Here is a 13,006-nt window from a genome sequence, read left to right as displayed (position 1 = left end):
TGTTTTCAGTTATGAAATTTCCATCTAGTGAAAGTAGAAATACCCAGGATAAATAAGTGAAAATTCACATGAGGCTTTGATATTTTTGTCAACTAAATGACAAAAGAGATGGTTATTAATCTCAGCTTATTCATCAGGAAAGACAACCTTTCTCGGAGTAGCACCACGAGGCAGTAGCGTGGATGTTTTAGATGTTCCTGTTCACATTGCCAGATGACTTACCTGCTGCCTCTCTCTCGCTTGCGATTTTGTTTTCTAGGCTAACAAAGTAATAGGAAAGGTGCAGATCCAGGTTGCTGACCTGTCAGAGATTCCCCGCTGTAACTGCAAGCCAGCTGATGAAAACCCTTGTGGCTTGGAATCGGAGTGCCTGAACAGAATGTTGCAGTATGAATGCCACCCGCAGGTGTGCCCAGCTGGAGATCGTTGTCAGAACCAGTGCTTTACAAAGAGACTATACCCTGATGCAGAGATCATCAAAACGGAGCGGAGAGGCTGGGGCCTCAGGACCAAAAGGAGCATTAAGAAGGTAGCATGGGATGGTGGTGGGGGGTGGAAGAGACCAGAACCTGGCTTTTCAGGAATGCTTCAGTAGGGTATAGTTCTAGGGATAAAATCAGCAGGAATTTGTGGTAAAATGTTAAAACTTTCCATGTTGAGAGTTTGGTACTTCTTGAGCAAAGAAGAGTAGTAGGAAGAAGATAGTGATAAAATGTGCTTAAACTTTGAGTGTCCAGTGGCTAGTCATAAAAAGGAGAGAGGGGACACTGGTAATTTCTATGTGAAATGGTTTTTACTTGTTTTTTTTATTGTTTTATTTTTATTTTCTTTTAAAGACAGGGTCCCCATTCTGTTACCCATGCTGGAATACAGTGGCGTGTTCATAGCTCACTCAAGCCTTGAACTCCTGGGCTCAAGAGATCCTCCCACTTCAGCCTCCCGAGTAGCTGGATAGGGTCTCACTACATTGCCCAGGCTGGTCTCAAACTCCTGGACTCAAGCAATTCTCCTGCCTTGGCCTCCCACAGTGCTGGGATTATAAGCATGAGCCACTGTGTCCAACCTAAAATTACTCTTGACATTTTTCTACCTTTTAAAAAAAATCAGCCGGGCACAGTGGTCACAGCCGAGGTCAGGAGATTGAGACCATCCTGGCTAACATGGTGAAACCCCGTCTCTACTAAAAATACAAAAAATTAGCCGGGCGTGGTAGCGGGCACCTGTAGTCCCAGCTACTCGGGAGGCTGAGGCAGGAGAATCACTTGAACCCTGGAGGTGGAGGTTGCAGTGAGTTGAGATCGTGCCACCGCACTCTAGCCTGGGTGACAGAGCGAGACTCCATCTCAAAAAAAAAAAAAAATCAGGTTTGTAATTTTAAAATGCCATCTAATGTAGTAAAGAAAAGTCATAGAATACAATCAATACAATACAATACAAAAAAGATAGCAGAGTGAAATTCTTCCTACATCCCTTCAATTCTTCATCTCCTCATCAGAGATAACCATTGTTCATAGTTTGATAGGTAGCCTTTTATAACGTTTTCTATATAGTTATAAACATATATAATAATACATTTTTTAAGGGTTTTCTAAACATAAGTATCAGACGTTTTCTTCCCATTCACACACGATAGCATAAATACATTTGTGGCAGTACATATAGATTTTACTTCATTCTTTTTAACAGTCTTATTTTAGTCATAGTAAAATGTACCATATTTAACCTATTTCCCAATAAGTAAATAAATAACCTATTTCCCCAATAAATAAATAATTTAACCTATTCCCAATAAATAAATAGATACATAAATATTTTTAAATTCCATAATGAATGTTCTTGGTCATCCACCTTTGTGCATCTATTTCTGTAGGTCAGATTGCTCGAAGTGAAATTCAGTTATTCGGTACATGTGTATTAAGCTGCTTCCTATGTGGCAGGTATTATTCTTGGCACTTGGAAAACAATAGTGAACAAGACACATGAAACCCTTACCTTAGTGGATCTGCTTGAGGAGACAGATAGTAAACATGTCGAGTGCCATTAACTGCTGTGAATAAAAATAAAGCTGGAAAAGGGGCTAGCTGGTGACAGGGATTGCCCTTTTCAAGTGATTGGCTCAGGGAGACCTGAGGAGGCGCTGTTTGCCGTGTGTGTGGTAGAAAGCCATGAAGGTGTGTGCAGGAGAAGAGCACGTCAGACTGGAGGCAGGCAGCTGTAAAGGCTGCAGTGTGCTCCAGGAACAGCAGGGAAGTTCTGTGCCTGGGGAGGAGCCACAGGAGAGGAAAGAGAGGAGCTGCGGTGAGAAGGTCAGCCACTGGCTAGATAGGATGGTGCCTTACTGGCCATATCTGCCATGGGATGGGGAACATCTGGAGGATTTTACTAGGGAGTGACTTGATCTGATTTGGTGTATTAGTTTTCTATTGCCACACACAAATGTTACCACAAAGTTAGCAAATTAAGACATAACACACATTTTATTATCTCACAGTTAATATGGGTCAGGAGTCTAGGCAATCCTTAACTGGGTCCTCTACTGAGGACCTCACCAGGTAGCAATCAAGGTGCCGACTGGGGCTGGGTTCTCCTCTGTGGCTTGACTAGGGAAGGATCTGCTTCCCTGCTTGCACAGTTGTTGGCAGAACTCCGTTCTCTAGCTATAGGGCTGAGAGACTCCAGTTGTTTTTGTTTTGGGGTGTGTGTGTGTGTGTTTGTTTGTTATGTGGTTGGCCAGGAGCTGCTTTCAGCTTCTAGAGGCTGCCCACAGTTCCTTGCCACATGGGATTCCCAGCATGCCACTTGCTTCCTTACAGCCAGCAGGGGTGAGAGACACTACAGGAAGATGGACACTGAAGTCTTATGTCATAAACTCACATAATCACCCCGTCACCCATGCCATATTCTGTTGGTTAGAAGCTAATCACAGGTCCTGCTCACATGCAACAAGGGGAGGAGGCGACAAAATGGCATGAACACCAGCAGGCAGGCATCACCGGGGCCACCTTGAGAGTCTGTCTGCCACACTTGGGTTTCGAAAGGATAACTGTGGCTGTGGTATGGAGAACATATGATAAGGAGGAAAGAGCGATAAAGGGAGACCATTAGAGTCGCCCAGGAGAAAGACAATGGTGACGTGGAATCACTGGGGTTGTAGTTGAGCCAGGAGGGAAGTGGTTAGATTTCTGACATTTTGAAGGTAGAGCCAACAGGATTTGCTGATGTATTGGATATGTGGACTGGGCTGCTTGGTCAAAGGCCAACCACATCTAAAATGTCATTGTATAATGCAAAATGTTTTATATTACTTTAGTGCCATGCATATCATATATACAAATTTTTGCCTATGATTTCACTGGAGTTTATGGGGCCATCCTGAAATCCATCCACTTTAATATTGTGTTAACACCTTTTAATAGTAGTTGCACTTATTCTGAAATGTGTTGTAAGATAACTTATTAAACAGTCTTGATTTTCCTGCTCTTTAGCTAGCACTTGAGGGTTTGCTGATGTAAGACAATTGGTCTTTTACAAAATAGCTAGAAATATACAATCACTGAAAAGTGTAATAATCACAGAGACATTATAGCAACATGAAAAAGATATTCGGGGTATTTACAGGAAAGAAGTCCAATATGAAATGGAATGTACACAGTCAGTCCCCTTCTTTCTCCACAGAACAGATTCCTGAAAATGTGTGCCAAACTGGGAACTTCTTGTTATGAAGTTGTTTCTTTCTCAGAAAAAATTTTAAGGTATTAAATATTGAATGACAGCCTCTTTGCTGTGGTCTATTTTAAGATATTAAATATTGAGTGACAGCCTTTTTGCTGTGGTCTATTTTAAGGTATTAAATATTGAGTGACAGCCTTTTTGCTGTGGTCTATTTTAAGGTATTAAATATTGACTGACAGCCTCTTTGCTGCGGTCTTTCAGGACAGATCTGTAGCATTTTTTAAGTTAATGAATTTGTTACAATTTTTTTTCACAGTTGAATTCATAGTTAATGGTTTTTAAGTCTAGTCAGCATCTCTTTGAGGCTAAAGATCTGTCTCAGGACATCTGAAATATTTCCATCTTTATTTACAGTGGTATCAAGTTTATGAGACTTGCTCTCATATTTGATATCAGCACTTAATTTTTCTGTATTTACTCATTTTCATAGACTAACAAGTATAAACCATAATAAATCATGATCAAGCTTTTAAAGTCACAAAACTATTTCTTCAAATGAAATCTTACCTTGAATCCCAATGTGTGAAAAAAGAAGTAGTAGAGCTGATTTGGTTGAAATTCTCCTCTATGAGTTTCCACTAAAGAAAATTTGCCCTAGGCCGGGCACAGTGGCTCACACCTGTAATCCTAGCACTTTCGGAGGTTGAGGCAGGTGGATCATTTGAGATTACGAGTTCGAGACCAGCCTGACCAACATAGTGAAACCCCATCTCTACTAAAAATATAAAATTAGCTGGGTGTGGTGATGCACACCTGTAATCCCACTACTTGGGAGGCTGAGGCAGGAGAATCGCTTGAATCCAGGAGGCGGAGGTTGCAGTGGGCCAAGATCACGCCATTGCACTCCAGCCTGGGCAACAAGAGTGAAACTCCGTCTCAAAACAGAAAATTTGCCCTAACATCATTAAGTATAGTAACAGTATGTGGCAATGCAGCCAAGATGGCAATACAATCTGCTACCCTTTGATATCATATCACAGTGCAAAATGTTGTTCATCAGCTGATAACAAAGTCCAAACTGGATACAGGAAAAGCTATTTGAGGCTGACAGTGTATATAATAGAAAAATGTGCAGAACAGTCCCATGTCCTTTGTGAGAAAGGACTGGAAGGAAAAAGTGAAGGAAATTAACTGTTTATGGTGCTGCAGTTACAGATGAATTTTGGTTTGTTTTTTTTTCCTTGAAACAGTCTTGCCCTGTCACCCAGGTTGGAGTGCAGTGGTACAGTCACAGCTCGCTGCAGCCTTGAACTCTCGGGCTCAAGTGATCCTCCTGCCTCAGCATCCTGAGTAGTGGGGACCACAGCCATGCACCACCACACCTGGCTGATGCTTTTTATTTTTTGTAGAGATGAGGTTTCACTGTGTTGCCCAGGCTGATCTCAAACTCCTGGCTCAAGCAGTCCTCCTGCCTCAGCCTCCCAAAGTGCTAGGATTACAGCATGAGCCACCACACCTGGCCTGTTTTTCTAACTGAATTCCATATCATAGCTTATACAGTAGATAAAAACAAGAGAGAGAAAAAGCCAGTGGTCACCTTTGGTAGTGACTGCTCCGCAGCTGAAGCATATGTAGCTCCGTGAAGCAGACCGGTGCTTCTCGCTGAGCTCACTCGCCACATGCCACCAAAGGAAGAGGCAGGGAGGTTAGGGCCCTTCTAGTTTAACCATTCATTTCTTTTCCCTTATTATAATCTATTTTTATCAATAGAAAAGATTAAATGTTTTAAAGACCATTGGCTTATGTTCCTAATGATTTTCCACAATCAGAAAACGTGATGCAGTACTTCTTTCTCTTCAGCTAGGGACTACCAACAGTTCTGTGATACTAAGAGCTATGAGAAGGGCTAGTGGAAATTTGTGGGGTGGGGGGTGGGAGGGAGAATGGGGAGAATGGGACAGAAATCTGATAAAATAAGCCAATACCTTTTTGTTTTTCAAGACATTTATTTTCCTCTAAAATATATTAGTAAGATTGGTAAGTCCTTATAGAGAATATTGACCTAGATTGAATGAGCAGTGCTTTTGAGGTGAAAAGGTTAATGATTATGTAATTATAAACACAAAATGTTGAATGTACAATATTTGCTCTTATTTTAAAAGGAGCTTATCACTGTATGCCTTTTAGAACAGCTTAAATAATAAATAGTGGCAATACCAGATGCAGACAGGACGTGGAGAAAGTGGATCTCATGAACTGCTGGTGGGAACATAACGATGGTATAGCAACTCTGGACAATAGTTTGGCAGTTTCCTTAATAAGGAAACATACACTCACCATATGGTGCAGCAGACACACTCCTGGCCATTTATCCAGGAAAATGAAAATCTATGTCCACACGAAAACTTTCACCAGAATGTTCATAGCAGCTTTATTTGTAAAGCCAAAATCTGGAAACAATCCAAATGTTCTTCCATGGGTGAATGGCTAAACAAATGGCAGAAACACTACTCAGAGATTTAAAAAGAACAACCTGTTGATATACTCAGCACCTTGGGTAGATCTCAAGAGAATCTGCCTGATTTTTTTCTTTAAAGCCAATCTCAAAAGGTTCTGTACTATATCATTCCATTATAAAACATTCCTTTTTTTGTTTTTTTGGTTTTTTGAGACAGAGTCTTGCCTTGCTCTGTCACCCAGGCTGGAGGGCAGTGGCGCGATCTCGGCCCTCTGCAGCCTCTACCTCCTGGGTTTCGGCGATTCTCCAGCCTCAGCCTCCTGAGTAGCTGGGATTACAGGCATGTGCCACCACGCCTGACCAATTTTTGTATTCTTAGTAGAGACAGTGTTTCACCATGTTGGCCAGGCTGGTCTCGGACGCCTGACCTCTGGTGATCCACCCGCCTTGGCCTCCCAAAGTGCTGGGATTACAGGCGTGAGCCACGGCGACCAGCCAAAACATTCTTGAAATGACAAAATTCTAGAGATGGAGAGCAGGTGAGTGACTGCCAGGGGTTAGGATGAGATGAGTGGAGGAGGGGTGTGATTGTAAAGGAGTGAGTATCACAAGGAATCTCTGTGGTGAGGCACCAGCTCTGTGTCTTGATTGCAGTGGTGATTACATGATCCTACGCCTGCTAAAACTGCATAGAATTATATACACACACAAATGTATGCATGTAAAATTGGTAAAATCTGAGTAAAGTCTGGATTATACCAATGTCGGTTTTCTGGTTTTGATATTGTACTGTAGTTATGTCAGATGTTACCACTGGGGAAACTGAGTGAATGTTCCCAAGATTTCCCATGTACTATTTTTGCCACTTCCTCTGAATGTCAGTAATTACTTGAAAAGAAGCTTAAAAACAAAAACAGAGCTCACTTGTTTCAGATTCAGATCTCTTCCAGGTCTCACCCCGAAACCTGCATAGCCACCAACTAGTAAAATTCTGTTATAATATAGCTTCAAAGGCTAGAGTTAGCTTTATCCCCAGATCCCAGCAATGCCCCACATGTTGTCACTTGGACTATAAAAATAGTATTGTCAGCAAGAAAAGGCAAGCAGATTGTCACCTTCTGAGGCACTTATACCAGAAAAATAATGCCACCTGAATGCCTATGAATAAATAACCATTTCTTTCTAGGGTTGAAGTTATATTTTCAGGGTTCTCTTTAATTATTTTGGGTTATACATGTGTCATTAAGCAATGCTTTATATAATACACTGATTTTAAGTTACATATTGCACATTTATCTCCAGGGTGAATTTGTAAATGAATACGTCGGTGAATTAATTGATGAAGAAGAATGCAGATTGCGAATCAAGCGAGCCCACGAGAACAGTGTAACTAATTTTTATATGTTAACTGTTACCAAGGTAAAATTGCTTTTTTTTTTTGTAAGAAAAAGGGATTTGTTTTTGTTTTTGTTTCATAGTCTTAATTTGAACTCAGTTTCTTTTAATTTGATTTTTCTTCAGGCAGAGCATAATGATTTGCAGTAGCTAGTGTGCTGCCTACTATAATGTGCCAATTATACCAGAGTAAAAAAATGAATGATACTGAAGCTTTGCACGTCATGTAAGACAGCACTGTGAGTGAAAATAAAACCAGGAGCAGGGTTAGCATATCTGGATTTTAGTCTGAGCTCTTTGTCAAAAAAGTCCTGGGCCTCAGTTTCTTTATTACTGAAGGAGAGAATCAACTCTGTGATTCTAAGTTATAAACCACCGTTATTAAAGTTCTACTGGAGCCAAAACTCCAAATTGTTCTGTATATTAAAACTTTTCGGCAGGGCATGGTGGCTTACACCTGTAATCCCAATACTTTGGGAGGCTGAGGAGGGCAGATCACATGAGCCCAGGAGTTTGAGACCAGCCTGTGCAACATAGGAAGACCCTGTCTCTACAAAAAATAAAAATAAAGTTAGCCAGGTGTGGTGGCACGTTTCTGTGGTCCCAGCTCCTCAGGAGGCCGAGGCAGGAGGATCACTTGAGCCCAGGAGGTCAAGGCTGTAGTGAACTGTGATCACACCACTGCATTCCTGCTTGGGCAATGGAACAAGACCCTGTCTCAAAAAAAAAAAAAAAGAAAATAATGAGCGCTGTCATAAGAAAAATGACAGTAAAGCTGCTAGTTTAATCTCTGCAGTTGTAAGACCTATTTGATACACAGTACATCCATTATCTCAGTTAATTTTTTTGTCAGTTCTCTGATTTACAGAGGACAAGAAGCTGATGTCCAGCCATGATAAGTGATTTGTTGACTATTTTGTTACACTTTTAAGAACCAAGACTAGTACCCATATTTCCTGTGTTCTAGGCTATCATATCTCTATAACTGAGATTCAGAATATCATTAAAGTAAGAAATGGAGCTTAAAAGTATTTTAACTGATACGTCATTGTTTGAAAGTTGTACAACTTTCATAAACATATTTCATAAACATCAGTTAAAATGTCGTTCTTTATGATTGCTGGGATCTGGCTCCTGCAACCCTATCCTCCCTGCCAGTGGCCCCTTCAGCCACCGTGACAGCACTTGAGAGGCTCAGTTCTGTGGAGCTTATCCAGATTATTAGAGTTCAAATTCAGGAAACCTGAATATTCAGCTTTTCAATGTATTGTGAACTTTAAGTAAAAACAGAGCAAACAGATAAGCACTGGAGAATATATCCTACACAGTAGTCCTTCCATCAGACAGCTCTCCAAGTTTTGTTTCTCATTTTTCTTTCTTCTTTCTGGCCTAAGCTCTCATGTATCCCCTCCTATACTAGTTTTGCTTCCTGCTTGGAGCAGAAAAGGAAGGCTGACAGCAAAACAACAGAGCAGTTATCAGAACTTTGAGATCTCTAATCAGAAAATACCATTCCTAAACCTCTGGCCCACTAATCTTCTAAATAGCATTATTCCATGGTCTATTTGTTTCTAGAAGCAAACTTAAAAAGCAACTAAATCCCACTTTATCCTAATTACTTTGACTTGAAGGTCATCAAATAAAGGAGAGAACTTAGTAAATTACCCAGGCAGCCTCACATTTCCTGATCTGTCAGTTGTCAAACACCAGTTGGTAGCAAAATGCTGCTGCCTGTGATCCTTGACTGAGTTGGATGTTTCTGGGAGAGACTTAATTTATGTAAAAGGTACTTTTCTTTTCTTTCTGAAGGACCGTATAATTGATGCCGGCCCAAAAGGAAATTATTCTCGCTTCATGAACCACAGTTGTAATCCCAACTGTGAAACACAAAAGTGGACAGTGAATGGAGATGTTCGAGTGGGACTATTTGCTCTCTGTGATATTCCTGCAGGTAAAAAAGTGACTCGTTCCCCATGCTTTCCTCCCTAGGAAGAAAGAATATCCTATAGAGCTAGGACATGGTTCTTCAAGGCTTGATGCCCAAGAACTTATTTAAATAAGAGGAAGGTTATATTTAGAAAACGTATTCAAATAAAAGGAGAGTTATATTTAGAACTGAGTGTTAGCTGCCAGTGAGAGGTAAAAATCTATAACCTCAAAAGGGAATTTAGTGAGAACTTTTATGTAAGAGCGGGTCTGACAGGATTCTGTGTCCGCAGTCCTGCTGAACGAATTCTCCAAGTTAGCTGCTGTCCATAGAGTGTAACCAGATGTTTTAGCTGTTGTTTTCTTTTTAAAACATATTAACAGTAATGAGCTTGTGTTAACAGCAGCTGGTTCCTTAGTTGCTGGGATCTTTTGTTGTTGTTTTCACTTTGAAAGATCATTCTGTTTCAAATTAGACATAAAAGCCTCTGAAGCCAAAGCTGTTTTCATTTTTCCTTACCTATCCAGCATCTGAACAATAAAACTTGGTTTCTCCTTTGTTTAGTTTGTAGAAAAATTGGTGAGAAGAGAAATGTTATAGCTAAAACAGATTTAAACTGTGTTTCTAGAACTCATTGTGGATTGTTTAAGCCCAGCTAGAAGAAAGCTTAGGAGGCCCTAGTTTGAGTCCCTGGATCTTTGGTGTATGCAGTAAACCTTCATTTTGGATCTTTATTTGATCATAATATAAGGCAGTAATTACTGGAAATAGTATTGTTACAATTCCATGGTCATATTGTTCATTTAGAAACTAGTGTGAGTTAGCTATAGAAAAGAAGGCTGAACTGGAACCTAGTCTCCTGAGCATAGATTGCAGATTCTTAGACCCTATCACTTTGGTTTCAACCACTGCTGTGAAAAGGACATGACTTCTTTTGAGGATGTGTAGTTTTGCTGTCATTGTTCCTGGGTGGGGATGTTTTTCTCCTTTTCTTTTTTTACCATCACTGTTATCAATGAGGTAGAACACTGGCAAGGGAAACGCCTTCATGCCAAAATGATGTCTCTTTTTTTCATTAGGGGAGTGTGCCTGTGAGAGCTTTTCTCTTCCCCATGACTCGAGTTTGAATAATTATTTCTCCTGTGTTTCAGGGATGGAGTTAACATTTAATTATAACCTAGATTGTCTGGGCAACGGCAGAACGGAGTGCCACTGTGGAGCAGATAACTGCAGTGGTTTTCTAGGAGTGCGGCCAAAGGTCAGTCTTGCAGGGGAGCGCCCCCAGTCAACAGGCGATAAGGAGTAGGGCTGTTAAGAAGTCTGTTTGGCCGGGCGCGGTGGCTCATGCCTGTAATCCCAGCACTTTGGGAGGCCAAGGCGGGCAGATCACGAGGTCAGGAGATCGAGACCATCCTGGCTAACACGGTGAAACCCCATCTCTACTAAAAATACAAAAAATTAGCTGGGCATGGTGATGGGTGCCTGTAGTCCCAGCTACTCGGGAGGCTGAGGCAGGAGAATGGCGTGAACCCGGGATGCGGAGCTTGCAGTGAGCCAAGATCGCACCACTGCACTCCAGCCTGGGTGACAGTGCAAGACTCTATCTCAAAAAAAAAAAAAAAAAGAAGTCTGTTTGTGTGTTTGTGACCATCTCAGGAACCTGCTGGCAATTGGGCACCTGGATTAGTTTGTGGGTCATCAGCTGGGCTTATCGAACATTTAGACTGTGACTTTCCAAGGAAGCTTGTTTCAGTAAGGTCTGTTAGGTTCTGAGAATGTATTTCATTTCAGATTGAATATGAAATTAGCAAAAAGCTAATTTAAAACTTTTTAAAAACCCACAAAATACTAAAGGCCACTGAATTATACACTTTAAAATGGCGAATTATGTGGTATGTGAATTATATCTCAATGAAAAAAATTAACAGGTTGTCTAAAAGTTGCTTGGATTTACCACTACCCTTGCAATTAAAAATAAAAAGCACCTGGCTGGGCGTGGTGGCTCACGCCTGTAATCCCAGCACTTTGGGAGGCTGAGGCCGGTGGATCACAAGGTCAGGAGTTTTAAGACCAGCCTGACCAACATGGTGAAACCCCATCTCTACTAAAAATACAAAAATTAGCTGGGCGTGGTGGCACGCACCTGTAATCTCAGCTACTCAGGAAGCTGAGGCAGAAGAATCGCTTGAAACTGGGAGGCAGAGGTTGCAGTGAGCCAAGGTCGCGCCATTGCACTTCAACATGGGCGACAGAGCGAGACTCCATCTCAAAAAACTAAATAAATAAAAATAATAAAAAGCACCCTATTCAAAAGTCAGTGAAGGCCAGGCGCAGTGGCTCATGCCTGTAATCCTAGCTCTTTGGGAGGCCAAGGCAGGCGGATTGCCTGAGCTCAGGAGTTCAAGACCAGCCTGGGCAACACAGTGAAACCCCGTCTCTACTAAAATACAAAACATTAGCCATGTGTGGCAGCACGTGCCTGTAGTCCCAGCTACTCGGGAGGCTAAGGCAGGAGAATTGCTTGAACCCAAGAGGTGGAGGTTGCAGTGAGATGAGATCGCCCCACTGCACTCCAGCCTAGTGACAGAGTGAGACTCAGTCTCCAAAAAAAGTCAATGAAAGGCTGAGGCGGAGGATCACTTGAGCCCAGAAGTTTGAGACCAGCCTGGGCAATGTAGCAAGACCCTGTCTCTACAAAAAAAATTACAAAAATTAGCCAGGCATGATGACATGCACATGTAGTCCCAGCTACTTGGGAGGCTGAGACAAGAGGATTGCTTGAGCCCAGGAGGTCGAGGCTGCAGTGAGCCAAGATTGCACCACTGCACTTCAGCCTGGACAACAGAGCGAGAACTCCATCTCAAAAATAAAATAATTTTTAAGTCAGTGAAAACAAAACTTTATTTTTGTTATAGTATTTGTTGCAGCATAAGGCCTCCTGATGTTTTTAGGTAATTGTACAACAGATGAATTTAAATGAATGCAAGGTTGCAGGGTTTTCCTGTGTCCAGCTTCATGCACTGTCTGTGATGTTTGAAACTATGATCCTTTCTTTCCTGCCAGTCGGCATGTGCGTCAACAAATGAAGAGAAGGCAAAAAATGCTAAGTTAAAACAGAAGAGACGAAAGATCAAAACAGAACCAAAGCAGATGCATGAAGATTACTGTTTTCAATGTGGAGATGGTGGAGAGCTGGTCATGTGTGACAAAAAAGACTGTCCCAAAGCATACCACCTCCTATGCCTTAACCTGACTCAGCCACCATATGGTAAGCTGGACCTTCAGGACCCTTTCCCTAATTTGTGTCTTTGCCAACTATGTGTAACTCACAATATATTCCATGCCATGGGATAGGAAATGTTGAATAGAACAAACAATAGCGAAAAATTACGCTGGCAAAAATCTTTCCCCTTACACATTTGGGATACCTTGTGGTTCCTCAAGGATTGGTTTCTTGTATACTGTTCCCGTAGGTGGGTACCTGTGGCGTTGGGTTTTGGCCAGTAGCTCACATCCATCCTAAACTGTACACCCAGATCTATGTTTGGTTGAAA

At 41.6% G+C, this 13,006-nt stretch overlaps 1 protein-coding gene across 1 annotated transcript in view; it reads left to right on the top strand.

Moving 5' to 3' along the window:
- The window catches only part of NSD3 (nuclear receptor binding SET domain protein 3), a 112,568-nt gene that overhangs the window by 93,256 nt on the left and 6,306 nt on the right, over positions 1-13,006 (top strand). Inside the window, exons 19-23 of the mRNA NM_023034.2 lie at positions 260-529; positions 7,433-7,549; positions 9,335-9,476; positions 10,604-10,710; positions 12,516-12,720. Of these exons, the coding sequence (NP_075447.1) occupies positions 260-529; positions 7,433-7,549; positions 9,335-9,476; positions 10,604-10,710; positions 12,516-12,720 (841 nt within the window). The remainder of the gene's footprint in view (positions 1-259; positions 530-7,432; positions 7,550-9,334; positions 9,477-10,603; positions 10,711-12,515; positions 12,721-13,006) is intronic.

Source organism: Homo sapiens, chromosome 8 (assembly GCF_000001405.40).
Source record: "Homo sapiens chromosome 8, GRCh38.p14 Primary Assembly".
Lineage (NCBI taxonomy): Eukaryota > Metazoa > Chordata > Mammalia > Primates > Hominidae > Homo > Homo sapiens.
This window is presented reverse-complemented; position numbering and strand designations above follow the sequence as displayed.